Source organism: Homo sapiens, chromosome 3 (genome assembly GCF_000001405.40).
Source record: "Homo sapiens chromosome 3, GRCh38.p14 Primary Assembly".
Taxonomy (NCBI): domain Eukaryota; kingdom Metazoa; phylum Chordata; class Mammalia; order Primates; family Hominidae; genus Homo; species Homo sapiens.
The window spans coordinates 127068459-127091365 of NC_000003.12; the positions used below are offsets into that span (position 1 = coordinate 127068459).

The following is a 22907-nucleotide window of genomic DNA, read 5'->3' on the forward strand; positions in this document are numbered from 1 at the left end:
AGAAGGATTGGGCCGTGGCCCTGTGCCCAGTGTCTCACACACAGATTCTCAGAATGTCCCTGCAAGGCGGGGGTCCTTGTCCCCCTTCACATATGGGCCCTGGTGGGCCCTCACACATCCAGGTGATGAGGCTGGGACCTGAGCCAGAGGGACCCCAGCTGCCGTGGGGGTACCCGCAGAGGTTGGTCTGTGGATAGAGTGTTCACAGGCCACGGGACTGACACTTATAGGCACTGTTGGGAGGCTGACGGCTCCTGTGCCCCCACCCACATCCTACCATGCCTGGGGAAGTGCAGCTTCCCAGCCACTCCCGCCCAGGCTTCCTCACTGGGGCTTCCTGGGGTGCTCCTGGTTCTCGTGTTTGGTGTAGCTCTCATCAGGGAAGAGGATCTCCAGCTCTTCTGTTGGTCCCTCTGGCTTTTAGGGCTCAGCCCAGGGTCCCATGGGTTCAGGCCTCTCTCCACAGGGTGTCAGCAGGCTCGGCCACTTGCCTCCTCACCCCATGTGGCTTCTGAATGTGGGATGATGGGGTGGCCACCTCAGGTTGAGGCCAGCTGCCCCTGGAGCCCTGCGTGCAATGTCAGAGCCTCTTGGTCCTGGAAAGCCGTGGGGCCAACCTCCGAGAGAGGGTGTCCTGGGCTCTCAGAGGACAAGTGTCTCAAAGAGCCTCGAGCAGCCCAGGAGAGGAGCAGGTAGAGTGTGTGGAGGTGAAGGGGCCCTGTCCCACCCATGTTGGCCCCCAGCCCACACTGCCCGTCTGCCAGCGTGAGCAGCAGCGCGAGGCCTACCAGCAGGTGAGAAAGGGTATGCAGACGAGAGGGATCATCCCAGGAGGCTGCAGAGATGAAAATAAAGAATCAGGCATCACAGCGTAAGAAGTAATATTGTTACAGTGCATGACACAAGATCTAGAAACAAGAGAGTCACAGAAACCTAACAAAGATGAGAACTTTAGAATGTAAATGTAATAAAAGATAGGAAAATGAGATGCAGGATAAGGAGATAAAAGGTGAGAAGCCAACGAGCTGCCAAGCAGAAGGCTGGAAACACAAAAGAGCGAAGATTAAGAACAAGGGTGAAGCTCATCGCCACGAGGTAATTTTTTAAGTAGATGAAACCATAGGTCAAAAATGAGAATTAAGGGCTAGGGAGTTATGAGTAAAAAGGAATATAACAACCAAAGAAAAAGTATAATCACAGAGCAACATTTTAAACGATTCTCTCCTGTCCAAAAACACACAAGTTACCCAACCGCCTTCCAAGTAAACAGGACCAGGAAGGAGAGAGGAAGGGGAGAGGGAGAGGCAGAAGGCAGGGAAGGTCAAGTTAACATACAAATCAATACAGTAACATGAGGGTCACGAACTGAAAAGTTGCTAGTAAAATCTCAGTTTCTTCCTTCAAAAAGCACAGACCCCATTCCTAAAGAGGAAACTTCTGTGGATAACCAGACCCCTCTGGCCAGGGGGCTCCAGGAGCTGCTGCTGGTCCTCCAGTGTGGGCTGAGGGTGCCCCGAGCCCTGTGCCCCGCTCCCGAGCTCGCAGCCTGTTGTCGATCGCCTGCACACTGGCCCTGGCTGGTCTTGGTCCAGTGCACAGGGTCCCTGGCATGGCTGTCCACGTCTCCCCAGCTCCCACGCCGCCCCACACTACCTGCTCACTGCTCTGCCGTCCTCCATCCTTGCTGCTCAGAACCCTGTAGCCCTGACACTGCCACCCCCAAGCATGGAGGTGGCAGAAGTCCCCACCCACAGCCACCCCCAGGCTGTCCTGGTTACGGAGGGCAGAGGCTCTTAGACCTAAGCCTGCACAGAGCCTCAGGTCTGGGCTTGCTCCAGGGTGGGGCCCCAGCGCACAGGGCTGGGTAGCTCCAACAAGTCCCCAGGTGACAAGCACGCCACTGGCTAGGACCATACTTTGAGTGTGTTGGGAGTTGCTACTCAGGAAAGGAAACCTTAAAACCAGCTTCTAGGAGAGCCTGCTCCCACACTGTTTTGGCCACGAGTCCCTGGCCCTGCCACACCGTGGGACTCTCATCCTCACCATGAGAATTCCCTCAGCTGAGCCAAAGACTCTCATCTGCCCACTCCTGCCCCAGCACCCAGACAGAGTGAGCCAGTCAGGGGTGCAGGTAACTGCCCCCACAGCCCTTCTTATCCACAAGGAAGCCAGACACTGCCTTCCAGAAGGGACCCTGGTTTGTCCTTTGCTGATTCAAAAGACTTAGAAAATTGTTCCTCAAAGGAAAGACCCGTCCTGGTTCTGCTCCTATAAAGGCACAGACTGCTTGTAGCCAGGCTGGGAGGATTGGGAATGCCGGGGTTCCATCACTGCACAGCAAATCCTCCACCTCCACGTAGTGGCACCAACTTGAGCCATTTTGTTGCACTCACAGATGCTGTGGCTACAGTTCGGAGAGGGCATGGCAGGCGATGGCTGGCTTGTACTCCAGGCCCGGCTGGGAAGACTCCAAGGCTGGGGGAGATGGGATGGGAAGTGAGTGGGGGCTCCTTTGCTCACACATCTGGTGCCAGGCCTGGGAGAACTTGAAGGCTAAGACAGGTGACTCGTGAGTGGCCTTGAGGTGGTGGAGCCTCAGCTGCAGTGCTCCAGGGAACGAGAACAGGCGGTGTGGCTGTCCTGACCTCACCATGGCATCACACAGCGCCACTTCCAGCACTTTCTGCTGGCTGCAAGCAAGGCTCCATCCTGCCCACATCCAAAGGGCACGACGGGAGGATGGGAAGGCCACGCTGCAGAAGGGTGTCATATGGAAAGTGTCATTACGGTTGTCTCTGGAAAATTCCATCTGTACAGGACCCTGCTGAGATGCTCAGAGAGCTTGGAGAACAATTGAAGGAGCCGCAGTCATCCTGAGAAGGGACATTTAAGTTGGAGCTTGGAGGATGAAGGGATCATCTTGGCAAGGGGTGAGGGCAGTGGGCAGAGGAAGTGAGGATGGGGTAGAGTGTGGGGTGAGGACCAGGTGGCCCTGTGACAGTGGAGGCATCAGCAGGGGGTGGACCATGCAACCTGGCAGGCCAGGGTAAGGAGGGTGAGGGAAAGCCTCATGAGGCTCTGGAGTAGAGACATGCCATGAGCTGAAGCAGGAAATATGTTGTAAAAGAGTGGCGTCAGGAGATCTGCTTTGATGCCCTTGCAATTGGCCAGACAAGAGAAGATGGTGGCAGGGACAGGGTGGGGCAGGTGGCAGCTGTGCAGAGGGAAAGGAATGAGTGATTCAAGAGAGAGGGGCCGAGCCAACAGAGCTCAGGCTGAAATGGGCCTGGGGTGCAGGAGGGGCGTGGTCACATGATGCCCAGGTATAACTGGGGTGCGGGGGTGCCACTTAGAGCCCAGGCATTGGTGCCACTTGTGGGCAGAGTGCCTGGGGCAGCAGCGTGTGCCCTTGCCACTCCAGCAGATGTGGGTGTCGTCCAGAGGGGTCTGCTCCTTAGACAGCCAGCGCCCCGGAGTCCCTGAGCAGCCCCACGGAGGCTGAGTCGGCGCTTGTCCTCCAAGGGGGTTTCAAACATGGTGGCTGGTGTGAGACAGGCCCAGTTTCAGCCCTGGCTCCACTCTTCATTGGCTGGGAGACCTCAGGCAAGTCACCTTGGCTCTTTAGGCCTTGGTTTTCTCATCTGTAAAAGGCAGTGAGGGTATGTGCCTTGCAGGGGTGTTGGCAGGATTAGTTAGTGCTGTTACTTGGCCGGAGCTGGGTAATGTTTGCTGAATTAGCACATGCAGGGTTCGTTGCCGCCCCACATGGGCTTAGCAAGTCTGGGGCAGGAGGCGAGAGGAGGGAGGGCCCAGCAAGGCAGCCAGTGCAGACCCCCGGGGAGTGGCAGAAGTGTCTTCAAGGTAGGAGCTGGGATAGACTCCCCCCATCTGCCAAGAGCAGCTTCCCAGGGACAGTGGGAGCTGCCATTGCAAGCTCTCAGTGGGCACAACTGCATGACCAAGTGCTTCAGGGAGGAGAAGAGCAAGCAAACGCAGCCGGAGCCCTGTGCATAGTGCTGGCCCCAGCCTGAAAGTCGCCAGAGCTGCTCAACTTCATGCACGCATGGCAGGGTGGAAGTGCCAAGGACAGACCCCACACGTGACCCTCAGAAGTCTCTGGTGTCCACGGGACTGAACCTCAGCCACCTGCAAGTGGCCACCCGCCTGTGTCGAGCCCTTCCCAGCAGGTTCCCTTCCCCCTCTCATTTCTTCACAGCCCTCCAGGGGGTCTTGGGCTCAGCCCCCATGCACACTACTGGCACTGGAATCCTTGCATAGCCTTGAAGGAACCCATATGGAGACTGTGGGGCTGGGCAAGGCTGGGAGGTGTGGGCCTGCCCTGAAGCTGGGTGAGGGTCCCACTTGTGCAGAGTAGCCAGGCCCAGGCATGGAGGACCTCCCTTGTGTCGGATCACACACCTGTTCACTCCCAGGAGAAATGGGAGAACTGAGAACAGGATTGGGAAGCACAGGGACTTTCCCAAGCCAAATGGAGGGTGGAGACAGGGCTGGAGCAGAGAGACAAAGAAGAGAGACAGACATGGATGGGGCAGAGTGACCCTCTGCTCCCCAGCACGTACTGGGTGTGGAACATCTGGCAGGTAGGTGTGGTGCCCCTTCCCAGGTGGAGACGCAGGCCTGGCAGGCAGGGAGGGTGGGGACCAGACTCCTCCAGCCTCTGAGGACACAGGTAACTGGGAGCTGACCCTCTGTCCATCTGCTGCCAACATCGTGTGCCAGTGCAGGGCAAGGACTGGGGAGAAGCCTCACTCTTGACCACTGCAGAGTGGAGACCAGTGGTCAGAGGGCCATAGCCGGCTGCTGTGAGAACGAGAGGTGACTGCTCCCCTCCTAGGCCTTCCTCTCCTGCCTGGTATGGCCAGTGGGGGTGGGTGGAGGGCTGGGGCTTGCTGGTCTACCTTCACTGATGTGGTCCCAGCCCCTAGGCCCAGCCCTAGCATAGAAAGCATCTAGGGAGCTTCCCTCTCCACTCCCCACCCAACTCCTCCTCCTGAAAGATGCATGGAGTGTGAAAATTTCATCAAAGCAGCTTGCTTCCTGGGCTCACAGGCGGGGCTGGCGCTGGGAGCCCTGGGGCCTCAGGCCGCCCTGCTGCTCAGTCAGCCCTGGACGCCCCTCTGGGCTGCTGTAGAACTGGGACGAGCAGCGGGTTGATGGCTAGAGTCCCTTTGGCGTGTGTGCTAGGAGGGGCTGGGGAGGGACAGAGGAGGCGTCAGGCCAGCTTTGTGGGGTGGGGCGGTGCTGACACCCGCAGGAGGGGCTGCAGCTGGGCAGGCATCAGAGTGGGGTTCGGAGTGTTCCCAACGTCCCAGTGACCATGACTGCTTGCTTGACCAGCATGCATTCACTCATTGACTCTGCAGCTTTTCATTATTGTTATTTTTGTAAAACAGATGCTGCATTTGCAAGGTTTTAAAATGAGATGGGCATTTCGGGCTATTCCTGTTCTTTTGCTGCCAGAAACAATGTGGTGTGGGTAATCTTGCTCAGAGTCTCTTGAAATGTGGGTAGGTACACCTGCAGGGCAAAATTCCGCAGGTGGGATTGCTGGGTCAGTGGATAATGTTGATGGGAATTGCCACACTGCCTTTCATAGAGGCCATGCCACGAACCCTTCCAGCAGCAAGGCAAGCAGTGCTCACTTTCCTGAGGTCTGGCCCACAGAGCAGACTGAAAACACTTGGAGTCTGGCCAATCTGATAGAGAAAACATATTTTGAAATATATAAAAAAGCTGGATTTTCTTTTGTCCTCTCTGAGTGGCTTTCTTAGCAAACAGCTACAGGGTAAATTGTCCTGCGGCCAGAGTATAATGAGCTTATTTTAACTGTGTGTGGTGCCTGTAGGAGCATATCCGTGTGCATGTGTGTGTGGTCATGTGCAAGTGTTCGTGTGTGTGCATGCATGTGCTAGTGTGTTTGTTTTACTTGGAGCATCCAATCCAGCCCTGGTCACTGGGCAGGAGGAAACTCAATCTGAACACAGCCAGGTACCCTCTGGGAAGACAAGGCTCATTCCCATGGCTCTGCTCCCAAAGAGCTGAAGTTAGTGAGACCTGGCTGGTGAGTTAATGACAGGGCCAGCTCCAGAGCAGGGCAGTGAGGGGCAATGACTGCAAGTTAGGGGAGCTTGGGGGTGAGGCAGGCTCAAGCAAAGGCTTGGCTGTGGCAGACAGCGTACTTCCAACGGGTGCTCCTAAACACTTGGAGACCTTGGAGGGTAAAGGCAGAACCTACCACAACTCTGCAGAGAGCTGGGCTAGTGGGGGAGGTGTCCCAGGAAGCTGAGCTGTGTACCAGCCACCTCTAAACACAGGGGCCTGAAACAATATCATATACTATTTTCAGACTTTAAGTATTGGCAAGCTGAGCTGGGAAGTCTAGGCTGAGCTTAGCTGGTCTGGGCTGAGCTCTGTGGTCTGGGCTGTGCTTGACTGGACTGGGCTGCGCTACATGGTCTGGGCTGTGCTTGGCTGGTCTGCGCTGTGCTCTGTTGTGCTGGGCTGAGGTCTGTGGTCTGGGCTGAGCTCTGTGAGCTGGGCTATGCTTGGTTGGTCTGGGCTGAGCTCCACGGTCTGGGCTATCCTTGGCTGGGCTGAGCTCTATGGTCTGAACTGAGCTCTGTGGTCTGGGCTGTGCTTGGCTGGTCTGGGTTGAGCTCTGTGGTCTGGGCTGTGCTCTGTTGGGTTGGGCTGAGCTCTGTAGTCTAGGCTATGCTTGGCTGGGCTGGGCTGAGCTCTGTGGTTTGGGCTGAGCTCCATAGTCTGGGCTATGCTTGGCTGGGCTGGGCTGAGCTCTATGGTCTTAACTGAGCTCTAATGCCTGGGCTGAACTCCGTGGTCTGGGCTTGTTCAAGAACCAGTGTCCTGTTGCTGACTTTTCCGGCTGGCTGCTGTAGACTTGTGTCCGGAATTGGTGGGTTCTTGGTCTCACTGACTTTAAGAATGAAGGCACAGACTCTCGCAGTGAATGTTACAGTTCTTAAGAGCGGCCTGCCCAGAATTTGTTTCTTCTGATGTTTGGATGTGCTCAGAGTTTCTTCCTTCCAAGGGGTTCGTGGTCTTGCTGACTCAGGAGTGAAACTGCAGATCTTCGTGGTGAGTGTTACAGCTCATAAAGACAGTGTAGATACAAAGAGTGAGCAGTAACAAGATTCATTACAAACAGCAAAAGAACAAAGCTTCCACAGTCTGGAAGGGCATGCAGTGGCTTGCCATTACTGGCTGGGGCAGCCTGCTTTTATTCTTATCTGGCCCCACCCACATCCTGCTGATTGGTCCATTTTACAGAGAGCCGATTGGTCTGTTTTACAGAGAGCTGATTGGTCCGTTTTGACAGGGTGCTGATTGGTGCGTTTACAATCCCTGAGCTAGACACAAAAGTTCTCCATGGTCCCCACTAGATTAGCTAGATAAGGAGTGTCAATTGGTGTATTTACAAACCCTGAGCTAGACCCAGAGTGCTGATTGGTGCATTTACAAACCTTGAGCTAGATACAGAGTGTCGATTGGTGCATTCACAATCCCTTAGCTAGACATAAAGGTTCTCCAAGTCCCCACCAGATTAACTAGATACAGAGTGCCAATGGGTGCATTCACAAACACTGAGCTAGATACAGAGTGCTGATTGGTGTGTTTACAAACCTTGAGCTAGATACAGAGTGCTGATTGGTGTATTTACAATCCCTTAGCTAGACATAAAGATTCTCCAAGTCCCCACCAGATCAGGAGCCCAGCTGGCTTCACCCAGTGGATCCCACACCGGGGCCGCAGGTGGAGCTGTCTGCCAGTACCATGCCATTTGCCGGCACTCCTCAGCCCTTGGGTGGTCGATGGGACTGGGCACCGTGGAGCAGGGAGCAGCACTCCGCCGGGAGGCTCAGGCCACGCAGGAGCCCACGGCGGGGCAGGGAGGCTCAGGCATGGGTGGCTGCAGGTCCTGAGCCCTTCCCCGCGGGGAGGCAGCTAAGGCCCGGCGAGAAATTGAGCACAGCAGCTGCTGGCCCAGGTGCTAAGCCCCTCACTGCCCGGGGCTTGTGGGCCAGCCAGCTACTCCCAGTGCGGGGCTTGCCGAGCCCACGCCCACCCAGAACTCAGGCTGGCCCGCAAGTGTGGCGCGAAGCCCCAGTTCCCGCCCGTGCCTCTCCCTCCACACCTCCCCCCAAGCTGAGGGAGCCGGCTCCGGCCTTGGCCAGCCCAGAAAGGGGCTCCCACAGTGCAGCGGTGGGCTGAAGGGCTCCTCAAGCGTGGCCAGAGTGGGCGCCAAGGCCGAGGAGGCGCCAAGAGCGAGCGAGGGCTTCGAGGGCTGCCAGCACACTGTCACCTCTCAGAATGACCTCCACAGGGACCACCTGGCTCCATAGGGCCTCCCATTCTCCAGCAGCCTCCAGGCCAAGTTTGTGGTCAAGCAGAGGCAGGGCTCTGAGGGAGCGTGAAGTGTAGGCTGAGCAGTGGCATATCACTCCCACCCATGCTAGTGGTCAAAGCAAAATCTGGCCAGCCAGAATCACATGGTGGGGCAAGGGACTCCAGAGGAAGGATGGAGCCTTGTGGCCAATTTTGCAATCCATCTTCTTCAGGAGGACAGAGTCCATGGGGGCCATGTCCCTGGGGCCATCTGTGCAAAGCTGGCCACCAACAACATTCAACTCACAGCACCTAAGCTGGGGGCTGGGACCCAGGAATGGGCAGCAGGTGGCTCTGCCCCCGGAGCATGCGAGCCAGTCACACCAGTGGTGGGAGCACCACGAGCCGTACCAGGAAATGTGGGAGAAGTACTCCTGGAGAAGTAGTCTGGGCCAGGGTTGAAGGGTACTTAGGTGTGCACCTGGGCAGTAGGGGTGAGGCGGGGCACTTTCTTTCTCCCGGTCCTCCCTCCTGGCCTAAAGGCAGAAGGCAGAGGAGACCCAGCCCTGGAGCTGAGAAGGGAGGGGATCCCAGCGTTTGAGCTGCAGGCCCACAGCCCCGCACGGGCTGTTCCTGCGTGGGCAGCCCAAGGATTAAACAGATTTTGTTGGGATTACTGCTGCCAATCAAGTTCAAGTGCATTTTTAAGAGCTTAATTTGTGGCCCTAGGTTTCGAATAAAATCGTCAAGTCCAGTCGATTAAACTCATTAAGGCGGGTGGACTGGCTGGTGTTCACACTGCCATCAGATTTGGAGAATTAATTAGGGGCCTGTTATCCTTTGTCGGGATTAGCAGAGCCAGCCCAGAGGCCCAGGGTTTCTGCTAAAAGACAGGCCCATAATCTCTTTAGTGGGGCCTTGGGAGACAGAGATCTGGGCAGCTTTGAGCAGGAAGTGCCACATGGGTGTCTTTGATTCTGCCGTGTGCAGACTGGCCGTGGGTCGGGGGTGTGGGCAGGCTTTAGGGCTTGGGCCATCCTGAGGGTGGCTGGCCCAGACAGCACTTCAGGCCACATAACCCTGCATACTATCCATGACCTATTCCCCCATCTCACAACAACTTAGGAGGAGGGCGCCAAGAGGACTTCTGCTGGTTCCTTTGCCTTCAAAACCACCCCCGACCCCAACTGCTGGAGTCTCAAGGCTCTATCTCCTTGTGAACCAGGTGGTGTGAGCAAGCTGGCCACCAAGAGCATTCTAATCCCTTGGGGGACATTGATTGGTCTCTGAGTGGGTGGGTATGTGACCCAAGAAGAGCCAGTCAAGGCCATGTCAGGGGGTGGTTGGGGTTTCTGGTATAGCTAAGGGCAAAAATATTAAGCCTGGAGCTGCCAGGCCCTGCAGGCCCTGCCTCAGGATGGAGAGAGAAGACAGATGAGTTTCTAATGACACTGGGTGAGCCGCTGGATCTAGCCACACCTAAAGTTTACCCCTGGACTTTTCAGTGACCTGAGCCAGTCCATTCCTCCTTGGAACAGGGTCTCTGTCACTTGCAACCAAGGGACAAATCAGCCCAGGTCTCAGGTCTCTTGCCTTCCAGAGCATTAGGGCTGAGAAGAAATTTAGAGGGTCTTTTTTCTTTTCCCGCCCATTTACAGAATGGGGAAACTAAGGCCCAGAGAGGAGAAGGACTTGCCCAAGGCTGCTGCAGATATTAATGGCTTCTGGTCTTCTAATGCCTCCTGGGAAAGAATCCTCCCCGCACCTCCCTGGTGGGTCTGGCCAGGCCAGTGCTGGGTGGGGTTTACCAGGTGTCCATACCAAAGGCAGACCGTGGTCAGAGCAAGTGGATAAGCTGGAGACATTTCCAGGAACTGGGGGAAGCAGAGTGCCCCACACACACGGGTCCCAGGTGATGGCTCTTACCCAGCTCAGGACCCTGGCTGGTGTCTCTGGGCCCGGCACTGGGCACTGAGTCTTTGCTGGGGTCTTTCTGTCCTGAGAGACCCCAGCAGGGGGGGTAGGGGAGGGACTCAGAGCCAGATTACCAGGGTTCAAATCCTTCCTGGCCAGTCGCTCGCCCTGTGACCCTGGATTGATCATTTGGCTTCCTCGAGTGCACGCTTTCTTCGTCTGTCTGAGGGGGTGGTGGTGACAATGGGGCTGCGGGAGGCCTGGGAGGCAATGCAGGTCTAGCAGGGAGCTTCGTGAGTGTCGTGGTCCACATTGCACCCTGCCCCTCAGTGCTGCCTACTGGCCTCTCTGCCTCCACTCTTGCCCCTCCCCCATCAGTTCTCAGCACAGCAGCCAAGGGCATCTTTTAAACGTTAAAAGTCAAATCCTGCCACTTGCATGCTTAAAGGCTGCTGAAGAAGCTTAGAATGCAGCTTAAATGCCTCACTGTGTCACATGTCCTGGCAAATACGGACAGGTGACAAACCCTGAGTAGCTGTGCGGTGGAATATGCCAGCCATGTTGTTCTGCTCAGGCATTCTGTGTGCAAGGACTCTGGATGGGACCTGAGCATGTGGCTTGCTTCTGCTGTACCAGGTCTGGCTCAGTGGAGCCTGTAGACTGGAGCGCCTGCCCACATGTCCCCAAGGGACTCTAGCTTCCTCACAGCATGGCGGACAGGTGCTGAGAGGGGTTTCTGGAGAGCATGGGAGGAAGCAGGAGGAAGCTGCATGCAGGCCTTTTCTGACCTAGCCTGGCAAGTTACATAATGTCGCTTCCACTGGACTCTAGTGGTCCAAGAAGGCACAAGTGCATGCTGTTTCAAGGCCAGGAGACATAGATGGAGAGTGGCTGTGTCACTTGCAGAAGAGCACATGAAATGAGAGACGCTGGTGAGGCCATTTCTGGAAACCATGGACTCTCCAGTCCACATGGTCTGGGCATGGCCCATATGTCTGAAGGAATTGCCTCTCCCTCTCCCTCACTCATATGCAGGCAGCTACCTTCTCTCTGTGCCTCAGACATGACAAATGCACTCTGCTGCAGGGCCCTTGCACTTGCTGTTTCTCCGTCTCCACATGACTGGCTCCTTCCACTCCTGAAGTTCTCAGCTCCAGTGTTCCCGCCCTAGAGAGGCTCTCCTTGACCCCTGGTCTAACCACTGCCCCCTCCAAGAATGCTCTAGAAAAGCCCCATCCAAGAGAAAGATTATGCAAGTCACAAATGTAATTTGAAATTTTATGGTAGCCACATTAAACAAGAAATTAATTTAAATGTATGGATATATTTACATGTCTGTTTGTATTTACTTATCTTTCATATATTTTTAACCCAATTTATCCAAAATATTATTATTCAATATGTAATCAATATAAAAATGTCAGTGAGGTATTCTGTGTTCTCACTTTTTTTATTGTACTATCTTTGAAATTTCATGTATTTTACATGTATAACACATGTCAATTCAGAAGCTAAATTTTTGTAGGAAATACTTGATCTGCTTTTAGGTCTGATACAACTTACTGTTGAAAGAGACTACTTCCATAGCCACCTTGTTCCAAAATAACTGAACTGATTTGAACATCCATTTTAACATTTAAATGACTTAAAATTCAATACAATGAAAAACCCAGGTCCTCAACCTCAGCGGCTGCCTCACACGTGCTCTGTAGTCATATTTACCCAGTAGAGACCGCTTCTATCATTGCAGAAGATTCTATCGGGTTGTGCTGCTCTAGGACAGTCCCAGCCCCTGTCCACATAGCACTCACCGCTGTCTGCGAAGATCTCACTCTGCTTGTTCAGTTGTTCACCTCCTTTCCCTTCCTCTGGAGCATAAGGACCTTGTTCCTGCCCAGAGAACCATGCCTGGCCCATAGAAGGCACCAGAGAATAACTTGGTAAATGAGTAAGTAAAAATTGAATCCAGGTGCCACGCTACATCTTCTCAGTCAATCCTCAGCCCAGCTTTGAGGGAGGAGCTGAGGCCCGGAGAGCCACAGCTAACACCCAAGGTCACATAGCCATAAGGGCCAGTGCAGAACTGAGGTGTCTGCATCCAACGCAGAATCCTGCTCCACCTCCCCTGTCTGTACCCGAGTACCTCAGCTTTAAAATCCATTTTAGAACTTCTTTTCTCTAATCTTAGAATATGGCCTTGAAATGTACTTTGAAATTCTTTGTTTCCCTCCCTTTCCCACCAGACCCTTCCTTGTGCCATGCACGCTCATCTAACTATGAATACATACTTGCTTAGAAACTCGGGCTAAGCTTGAAACAAGCCAGCATGCAGGTGCAGCTGTGGCATTCTCCCCCACCTAGAGATTACCTCAAGGTGGTTAATCTGCAACCCAGCGGCCGTTGAGACAGTGTCAACTGGTATCCAGAGGGACTCAAGATAACCCTTGGAAGGAGTGCAGACCTGCGCCCTGCACTGCTCCGGCATGTTTCCCATACCAAGTTTCCCATTTAAACCCCCTCAGTCAGCCCAAAAATTTGGGTTGGCTTCTTTGAGGCTGATGCCTGGCCAGCTCCTCATCTGCTGGCATTTGAATAAGGCCACTTTCCTTCCATCACACCTGGCCTCTTGTATATTTGGCTTTTTGAGCAGTGAGCAGCCAAACTGGAGTTTCTTTCCAAGACCACATGGCTTCACAGCTGGTGGGGACGGGACCCCTGCCCTTGGGCAGCTTATGACCTGTCACGGGAGACGAACATGCAAGAAAACGGCATTAGCAGGACAGGGAACATGCTGTCGTGGGTGTGAGCAAAGCCTGCAGAAACAAACTTCATCCTGGCTATTGCCAGAGGCTCCACTGAAGATGTGGCGATTGTCCTGGGCAGCTGTGTTCACCAGAACTCTTCTGGTTCAACGGGCAGCAGGGACAGCATGCTGGCTCAAATTGGCCCAAGGAAAGAGGCATGTATGGGCACCCACAGCAGAAGAGGGCTGGGCCTTGGGTGTGGCTGGGCCCCAGCACTTCAGTGATGGCCTCAGGCCCTGTCCCTCTCCAGCTCTTGGCTCTCTCTTCCTCTGTTTGGGCTCTGGTCTTGGGCAGGCTCTCTCTGTGGCATCACAACTCCAGGCTGTGGCCTCTCTTCAGCCACACCGGTGAGAGAGATGTTTTGTTTCCAACAACTGCTGCCAAAGTCCGGGATTTTGCCTTATTTGTGTCTGCCGAGGTCAGGTACCCATCACTGAACAATGGAAAGAAATGCAGTGATTAGCCAGGCCAGGTCACCTGGCCATCCTTGGACCTGGGGATGAAGGTGGCACCAAGAAAACTTCATGGCCTGAGAGTTGGGGGGGTCCCCACAAAAAATTGGCTGTTATTATGTACATTAGGCAAGCAGGACCATAGATCATGGGTGGGAAAGCACTCTGCAAACTGTCAAGTTCTCCTGCAACCTGCAGGTAAGATGCCCTCTCGTGGGAGGAGGAACCGAGACCCAGCCTTAGGGGAAGGGTGCCCTGGGTCAGCCCTACTTGCCCAGTGCCTGCCTTGTCTGCTCTCTGGGCACAGATTCAACTCCAATTTTGAGTCTGTCAGAACATGTGATCCTTCCAGGTGCAGGGATTGGCTCAGAGATGGGCAGCCCAAGAGTTCCCCAGCTTTTTTTTTGAGACGGAGTTTCGCCCTTGTTGCTCAGGCTGGAGTGCAATGGCACGATCTCGGCTCACTGCAACGTCTGCCTCCCGGGTTCAAGCGATTCTCCTGCCTCAGCCTCCTGAGTAGCTGGGACTACAGGCATGTGCCACCACGCCCGGCTAATTTTTTTATTTTTAGTAGAGATGGGGTTTTATCATGTTGCCCAGGCTGGTATCGAACTCCTGACCTCAGGTGATCCACTTACCTCGGCCTCCCAAAGTGCTGGGATTACAGGCATGAGCCACCACGCCCGGCCCCAGCTTGTTTTGAGGGAAGGGATGAGAAATGTGCCTGCAGACATTGGGGGCATCTTGTCAGCCATGAGGAGAAGCCAGTGTGAAGGGTGAGGCTGACCCAGGAGGAGGGAGGTCAAGGTAAGAAGAGGGTGTGTGGCCATGACAATACTACTGAGTCATACCTGAAGTTGATGTCCCCCATCCATGCCCTAGATCCATGAGCCAGTAGTGAAGGACCTGGCTCTGCCATGCAGGGTTAGTGTGGACCAGATTGGGCCTTGAACCTGGGGTGGGATCTGGCACCCGACTTACCTGTGTGAGCCTGGAACAGTGTCCCAGCTCCCTGCCCAGCACTGCATGCATGGAATCATGTATGTAATGTGCCAGGCCTGTGTCACATGCTCAGTAATGTGAATTCCCATCCCCCCTTCTTCTGCAGGCATCTTCCCACTGGGTCTGCCCCAATCTCCCTGCCCACATCACAGCACCAGAAATCCCACAAGCTCCCTCATCTGTAAAGTGGGGATAACGATTCCTCCTGCACAGGCAGGAGGAATGTCTGCATGCATGTAACATGTGTATACGTGTTATGGATGTTATGGATGTCATGCTTGCGTGTCGTGCATATGTTATGTGTGTGTTGTGTCTACGTGTCATGTATTATGCCATGTATGTTTGTGTGCTACATATATAGTAGCGTGTATGTTTATATGTATGATATACGTGTGTGGTATATGTATGTGTGCATGCACGTCATGTATGCATGTGTCATGTATGTCTGCATGTGTGATGCATTATTTGCTTTGTGACGTGCACCTCACAGTGAGGAGTGGATGGCACAGAAGCTAGAATGACATAGTTTGGATTTGCGTCCCCTCCAAACCTCAAGTTGAAACTTGATCCTCGGTGTTGGAGGTGGGCATGGTGGGAGGTGTCTGGGTCACGGGGGATCCCTCATGAGTGGCGTCGTGCCCTCCCCACAGTGATGCGTGAGTTCTCGTTCCATGAGTTCCTGCGAGATCTGGTTGTCAGAAGGAGCTTGGCACCTCCCCTCTCCCTCTCTCTCTCTTTATCTCAGTGCGACCTCTGCACATGCAGCTCCACCTCACCTCTGCCATGAGTGGAAGCTTCCTGAGGCCTCCCCAGAAGCAGAAGCTGCTGCTGTGCTTTCTGTGCAGCCTGCAAAACTGTGAGCCAAACAAACCTCTTTTCTTTATCAATTCCCCAGACTCAGGTGTTCCTGTATAGAGACGCAAATGGTCTGAGACCTAGCACTGAGCCTGTGCATGGTGAGTGCTTGGAAACCGCACTGACCACCAGCACCCATGTGTGGGCACTGTTCGAGGCACGTGCTGTCTGCTGGCTCCTTTAGTCCTCATTGCAGCCGAGGGTGGTGTGATCAGTATCCATGGCAAGGATACCGTGGCTCCACATATCAGTAAGAGGCGGGCTTGGGGGCCACACTGATCACCTGCTCTGCCTTGATGCAGGGCACAGCCACCGTTACCCTGTGGAGCAGCCTGCACTGCTTGTCTTGGTGAGGCTGGCCTCGTGCCCGTTCTCTCTTTGTTCTCTCTGGGAAGTTCTCTCCCAGGTCCTTTCCTCTCAGCTGATCAATAGCATCTTGAGCGGACTCAGCCTGGAAATTCTCATCCAATGGTTTCCTTAGCAACCAGCCCACAGGCAGCTGCCCTCGGTCAGCCTGCTTTCTGATCTGAAACTCAACTTAGAGCCCAAAGGCTTTCCTCAGATACCCTTTCCAGCACGTCCCCTGCCTGGCTGGGGGCTACAGGGTCCCTGTCCATCCTCCCTTCAAGTAGGTGATGCTGATGGGGCTTCCTGCAGAGCCGGGTGAGCACAGCTGGGGCCCTAGGCAGGGCTGCAGGTAGACCTGGGTTCAGAGGCTTGGGCCGGGGTGTTTATGAGTGGGATGATGACTAGGTGTCTGTTTTAGACCAGGGCAGGCACGTAGTCCCGGTTATGTGACCACCGATGTGACCTGGCCACTGGGCAACCAGAACAGCAGCCAACCATGCGCAGTGGGTGCTGGGCCACCCGTAACACCCTGGGAGTCAGGGCTCCTGTTATCCCCTGCAGAGAGGAGGAAGCTGACTGAGGGAGCAGGGCACACAGGGAGGGAGGCCAGAGCGGGAGGTGAACCCTGTTGTGTTCGAGTACAAAACTCAGGTCCTCCTGGAAGGGTGGCCTGAAGTCAGTGGGCCCCAGAGGGTGTCTAGAGAGGCTGTGACATTGACAGGCCCAGTGGACAATGCCTGGGATATGGGCCAGAGCTGGGAATTGCAGCCCCCAGCCTGGAGCTCCTTTGTGGCCACTGCCTACCCCACGTGCATCCAAGCACTCCAGGCTGTGCACAACCTGAGCAATCCTGTGCAGAAGAGGCACGGCAACCCAACAGGGATGTGCCAACTGGGAATTCACGAAAAGCAGGGGTAAGGAGAAACAGAGCTCCTGATTCCCAGGAACCACTGGAGGTGTTGCGTGGGTGCCTGGGATGAGCCACAGGGGCTTGCAGGACACACAGGCCATGTCAGAAGATGGGCAGCTGGGGCTCCAACCCCCATGTGCTTGGTCCAAGCCATGGCATTTAGAAGCAAAGGCTCTGGAGTCAGGCTGGAGATTGAATTCTGGATCTGTCCTGCCTTGCTGGCTGTGTGTCCTCAGGTAAGCTACTTCCCTCTCTGTGCTCTGGTTTCCTCACTGTTGGGAACATTAAGAAATTTAATATTAGAAAAGCCTCCCAACAGTACTTGGCATACAGTAAGTGCTTCCCGGTGTTGGTTAAATAGAATGAGGCGGCCCCAGGGCCACTCTGGGTCACTCTGGCTCTGGACCTGGCCTTGTCCAAGCAGGCACCAGCAGCACTGTGTCCCAGCCTGTTTCCTCATGCATAGCTGTTCCCGGAACGGTCTCCCCTCAGAGCTCATAAACCCATGGGGGCTGTGCAGGGAGAGGGAGTCTGGAGACCGGGAACACCGGAAAGGACTCTTTCTGCTGCCTCCCTGGGCCCACCTTAAACACATACATGAACACGCACATACGTGCACATCCCTCGAGTGTGGGCAGGTACGTAGACTAGACTTACTGCGAACCCAGCAGTGCTGGGCGCTGGCAGGCCAGGCATTCGAATATCCACCAGAGACCCTTCGAGGGCCCTGATTTTCCTGTGTGTGGCTCTAGGACAGGACTGGCTGTCAAAGTTGTTTGGACCTTGGCATCCCACCCTTGCACCCTGCTGCACCAGGAGCCACCACCCAGGCTGGAGAGACGGGGCTGCTGGTAGGGTCCACCTGCAGCTGGCTTTTCTTAGCTAAGCAGCAGTGGTGTGACTGCCTCCCCAACCACCGCCACCCCCCACCAGGCAAATTAAAGTCACAGGATGACACTGGTATTTCCCATTCATTAGCAAAGATTAAAAACCTGAGGACACCCAACATGAGTGAAGGTGTATTCAGATGGGCATGCTTGGCCTTGGCAGGTGGGCATGTGAATTGGCCCAGCCTTTCTGGTGGTAATTTGGTTAATCTACCAATGCCTTGAAAACGTTAAGGCTGGGTATGGTGGTGCACATTTGTAGTCCCAGCTACTCAGGAGGCTGAGGCGGGAGGATTGCTTGAGCATAGGAGGTCAAGGCTGCAGTGAGCCATGATCAAGCCACTTAACTCCAGTCTGAGTGACAGAGTGAGACCCTGTCTCAAATAAAATTAAAAAAAATAAAAATAAAAATAAAAATAAAAATGTTTATACCCTTGAATCTAGAAATTCCACATCTGGGGATCGGTTCTAAGGCGATCGTTTTCTTACCCCACTCCTCCATACAAAAGGCGATCTGTCTTCTGGGCTAGAGCCAGCTTATTCTGGCTCTTGAGAGATGAGTGTTAAGTATTCTGGACAATTCACCAGTCAGTTGTTAGACTGTTGGTAGCTTGGCCCAGCCACGGTGCGATATTTACACCATGAGCATTGGCAATGGCTACGGCTCAGAGCTCTGCATTTTTCTGGAGAGCTGGTTTGTCAGCTCACCAGGCGCTCACCAGCCATGCTATTCTGTAGCCACTCACTCATCTCGACGTCCCAGTGAGGACAAGGTCCAGTGCGTATGTGAGGTGGACACAGCAGGCTGCATGCTGCGGATTGTGGGGAAAACGGAGCGAGTGTTAGAGTGTGTGTGTTTAGATGTGTGTGGAAAGCCTCTTAGAGGAGACACAGTGCCCGGGACCGGATGCTGCCTTGGGACACGAAGACAGTGGGAATGAGGGAGAGAAACTCACTTTTTCTATATATCCTTTTGTAGTCTTTGAATTGTTTCCACATTCCAATTTTTTTTTTAATGTAAAAGACAATAAAAAAGAAAAATCTTTTTTCACAGTTATGTTCTTGTTGTGAGTTGTTTGTGAGTGTGAAAAATAAGACAACATAGCTGTCCGTGTAAAAGGGAAGACTGAGTAAATCCAGCACAGTGGCTCCAGGCTGGGACACCGTGGGCTTATTACAAGTGGGTGTTCACGATTATTATCGCAATGGGGAAGCTGCTACTGAGTTTACCTGCAGTAAAGCCTGTTCGACAGTTGTATACACAGTATTATCTTGATAGCAAAAAAAACCCCAAACACGTTGGTGGGAAATATTCCAAACCATAAACAGGGTGTTTCTGGTTGGTATTGTTATGAACAATTTCAACTTTCTTTTGTATTTTTTTCCTGTACTTTTCCAATTTCCTATGTTGACTATGAGTTACTTTTGTACCCACTCCCCCCAAAATTCTGTGTTTTGGTACAAGAGCTGAGGCCAGGCAAATTGTATCCGCCACAATCCTGGCAGGTCACACCACCCTTGCTGCTGGCCTGGACCTTCCACAGCCTTCCTGGTGCAAGGTCTGTGTTTACGTGTCCTTCCGACCACTGCGCCCTCACCTGCCCTGACTGCGGTCCTGGCCCCATCTCTCCCCTCTTGGTGTGCCTGTGACCACAGGGGCCACTCCTTCCACCCTGGCTCAGCCCCTGGGAGCACCCTGGGCCTGGAGCGAGCCTCTGGGCCAGGCTTCCCTCAGTTGCAGAGGGGACGATGACAAAGCCTCCCCTCCTGCGGTGCCATGACAGTGAAGCACAGTGTGTGGGCCATGCCACAGGACTGGACAGACACATGGCACAGTTCAACGAACCAAATGGAACCTGGCTTGGCCAGAGGTGGAAGGAAAATCCCATTTCAGGCATTTTTTGGGGTCTCCCTCCCTAGTGTCACATGAATCCCAAGGAAGAGGGGCTGAGGGTCTCACAGTGACCCAAGAGTCTGCCGGGAGTTTTCTGGGGCTTCTCCTTGTCTACACTGATGGGTCCTTTTAAATGGGGTGTCTCTAATGGGGGCTTGGAAGATAGCAATTCCAGAATGCAAAAAAATCCACCACAAAACCCACAAAACACTGTCTTTCTGTTATGCCCGAGTCACATAACGGGGGGTAGTTCCTCCTTATCCACAGTTTCAGTTACCCGTGGCCAATCACCATCCAAAAATAGGTAAGGGTAGTTCAAGAAGATATTTGGAGACAGAGAGAGGCCACATTGGCGTGATTATGCCATATTGTCATGATTGATCTGTTTTATTATTGGCTGTTGTTATTCATCTCTTACTGTGCCTAATTCAGAAATGAAACCTTGCCACAGAAATGTAAGTGTAGTGGATGTGGGGTTTGGTGCTAGCCAGATGAGGGGGAACCACTGTATTTAGGAAAATTTGCCAGGCGTCCAGTCCCTGGGATCTGGGGTTCAAGCCTGGCTTTACCAAGGCCACTGTGTGCCTCTGTGCCAGTGACTTCACCTCCTTGTGCCTTAGTTTTCTCACTGTGAAAGGGGACCTGGTGCACTCACCACAGAGAGAGGTTGTTCGGATTAAGTGAGGTGACGCAGGCACCCTGCCATGCAGCCGCCTGGGCCTGTGCCCTCCTGGTCTGGAGTCCACCTCTCCCAGGAGGGGTCACTGCTGCTGTGTGTGCCCTGGGGGCCCCCAACTCCTGCGCATCCCTTCTTCCCGAGCCCTGGCGGTAGGCCCGGCATTGCTGTCCCCTCCCACACGTTTTGTCTCTCATTTCTGGGGTAACATTTGAACATCTGTGTATTTCACATAAGAATCTTGATTTCTAGTTTCTCCTAAACTGTCAGAGCCACCTGGCCGGACTTGGCTACTGGGACGCTCACTAGGTTAGGGAGGGCCGCCTCCTTGTGGGCGAGGGACCTGCAGGCTGGCCTCCCGCCTGGCCCCTGGGGCCTCTGGGCCCTCACCTGATAGCACTTTTCCTGAATGGAGTGGGCTGGCTTCTGGATGAGGTGGGGACAAATACCTCACAGGCTTCTCCTCTTTCCTGACCCCACACCCAATGCCTAGGCTGAAATTGGCCTGGGGCGATCTCAGGAAATGAAAGGCACACTTCCTAGAAGGGCAGTGGGGGTGGCCTCTGAACTCACTCCCTGCCACAGGCTCAGCATGTTGCCTGTGTGCGGAGAGGAGCAGACGTCCTCAGGCCACTGCTCTGAGTGTCCTGGAGCCTGGCAGAGTGCTCACACTGACCCCGCGGTGAAGGGAGGGTTGGGGGACAAGGCATGGGCCTGGGGGACGTGAGCTCGTGCCTGGGACTCCAGGCTGGCAGGCAGCTGGCAGGCCACCCCTCCCCAGCCTGGAGGGGACCAGCAAGGTTCTCTCTTGCATCCCTCTGGAACCTGGGTCCCCAGCTCCTGCCTGCCCCACCCTCTGTCCACAGGTCCCTTGACCAATACCTGACCTTGACATCCTGTCACCATCCTTTGCGTGTTAGTGGCATCATTTACATTGATTAATGACACCAGAGAAGCCCCTGTGTTTCTGTCTCACTCTAAAATCTTAATTACGCCTCTGGAGGTCCTACAGTCTACATCTGTGATGGGGCTTCATTTCTGCCAAGGCCTGCAGGCAGCATCTGGCCAGTGGTCCACTGGGACCTCTGACTCATTCTTTCTGTTGTCTGTTCTGTTCCAAGCTCCAGGCTGGGCTGAGGACACAGAGGTGAACACAAAGTTCTATGCCTGCCCTCAAGGAACTCCCAGGGTGGTGGGGTTGGAGGAGACACACGTGTGTACAAATAATTAGAATTCAGAGGGGCATCGGGTCCTTGCTGTAAAAGAAAGAAGCCCGGGTCTGGGGGACGCTGGAGGAAGCACCTGGCTCAGGCTGCAGAGCCAAGAGGGCTCCCTGGAGGAGGGGACACCTGGGCTGGTGTTGAAAGACATGTTTGCAGGCTACAGGGAGAGAGCTGTGCAGTGGGCACAGCAGCTGTGAAGGTGATGACTGGGGGCAGGGAGGAAGGGGCCGGGAGGCGAGGGTGTGGAGGAGGGCTGAGGCTGGGTCCAGTCTCACAGATGGCTGGCTCCTCTTTAAGGTGCCTTTATGGTGTTACCAGAGGCCAATGCCAGGAGGGGTGGGACAGAGAGCCCAGCTCAGGACTCTGTCAGACCAGGGCCATGATTCCAGCTCCTCATTTCCAGCCAAGTGACCCTGGTGCATCATACACCTCTCTGGGCTGCAGCGTCCTCATCGGTGAAATGGAATCTATGAGAGTTTCAGGTGGGGGCTGTCCACACAGGGACGGCTGCAGGAGGGGGTCTCTCCTCTGTCCCCCAGCTGAACCCTGAAGGTGGCCCTCATTGGTGCCCTCCTCCCTCTCAGGAGACTGTGTCAAATGCCACAGGGAGCTGAGTTTGGCCCTGTCCCCTGGTTGGGGAGTTCTATGTATTTTTCGGGGCTATTGCCTGCAGAGGCCCTGGCAGATCTGCTCACCCTAGGCCCCCCAGGGAGGAAGAAGGGAGATGCAAGTAACTGCCCTCTCCTCTCTCCACCCAGGGCCAGCCCAGCTCTGTCCCTGCACTGGGCCCCCAGGGAGGGCTGCTCCCACAGGATCTAGGTCACAGGGCACGGCAGGAGGCTGGGTGAGTGCCCAGGGCTGGGGGCCACCTTCTCAAGGGCCTCTTGTATCTGACTGAGGGCCATACCCAGTCCGCTCGGGTCACTATTACCATATAGCAAACTTCACGGTGTAAACCCAGATCACCTTGCTCCTGGATGTTCTGGTTCTAGGATTCCAGAAGGGTGCCTGGAGACAGCTCATCCGTGTTACGACAGGGGACAGAGAGCATACCTGCAAACCTGAGATGTGGGTTAATGGTTCCGAGATAGGCTCTGAGGCCAACTGGCCCTGGCTATAGTCACAGCCACAGCACGGGGGCCAGTTGCAGCATCAGTTATACAGTAATGCTGTGTCACAGCTGCCCCAAGCGCCAGGCCTCATAGTTGGCATTTACCCTCACCTCGGGCCCTGGCTGGGTGGCCCATCCTTCCTGCTCCTTGGACTGACAGCTCTCTGGGCAATCCTCATGGCAGATTTTGGATGTTCCCTGAAGGTGCCTCTTAAAGCCTCAGCTTAGAACTCACACCTTCCACCTCTGACCATGTTCCAGTGGCCAGTGCAGGTCACACCGGTGAGCTCCACATCACTGGGGTGGGGAGGACACTACACTCATGGAGGGGGAATGAAAATGATGAACAAAGGCTAATCCACCCCACTGGCTGTGTCACCTCGGCCAGTTGCCTACCCTGTCCGTGTCTCTGTTTCCTCTCGTATTAAGTGGGGACATTAACCAGCCGTGACAGACCACTGTGGGAA

General features: G+C 54.5%; 5 annotated features.

Moving 5' to 3' along the window:
- Positions 2073-2573: an enhancer, noted in NCBI's record as "H3K4me1 hESC enhancer chr3:126789374-126789874 (GRCh37/hg19 assembly coordinates)". NCBI's record gives its function as "activates a minimal SCP1, AML or CMV promoter by ChIP-STARR-seq in primed H9 embryonic stem cells {active_cell/tissue: H9 hESC(primed)}" and the evidence as "EXISTENCE:reporter gene assay evidence [ECO:0000049][PMID:30033119]".
- Positions 2574-3074: an enhancer, noted in NCBI's record as "H3K4me1 hESC enhancer chr3:126789875-126790375 (GRCh37/hg19 assembly coordinates)". NCBI's record gives its function as "activates a minimal SCP1, AML or CMV promoter by ChIP-STARR-seq in naive H9 embryonic stem cells {active_cell/tissue: H9 hESC(naive)}" and the evidence as "EXISTENCE:reporter gene assay evidence [ECO:0000049][PMID:30033119]".
- Positions 7264-7333: a silencer, noted in NCBI's record as "silent region_14684". NCBI's record gives its function as "represses an Ori minimal core promoter by ATAC-STARR-seq in GM12878 lymphoblastoid cells {active_cell/tissue: GM12878}" and the evidence as "EXISTENCE:reporter gene assay evidence [ECO:0000049][PMID:35858748]".
- Positions 19799-20425: an enhancer, noted in NCBI's record as "H3K4me1 hESC enhancer chr3:126807100-126807726 (GRCh37/hg19 assembly coordinates)". NCBI's record gives its function as "activates a minimal SCP1, AML or CMV promoter by ChIP-STARR-seq in naive H9 embryonic stem cells {active_cell/tissue: H9 hESC(naive)}" and the evidence as "EXISTENCE:reporter gene assay evidence [ECO:0000049][PMID:30033119]".
- Positions 20426-21051: an enhancer, noted in NCBI's record as "H3K4me1 hESC enhancer chr3:126807727-126808352 (GRCh37/hg19 assembly coordinates)". NCBI's record gives its function as "activates a minimal SCP1, AML or CMV promoter by ChIP-STARR-seq in naive H9 embryonic stem cells {active_cell/tissue: H9 hESC(naive)}" and the evidence as "EXISTENCE:reporter gene assay evidence [ECO:0000049][PMID:30033119]".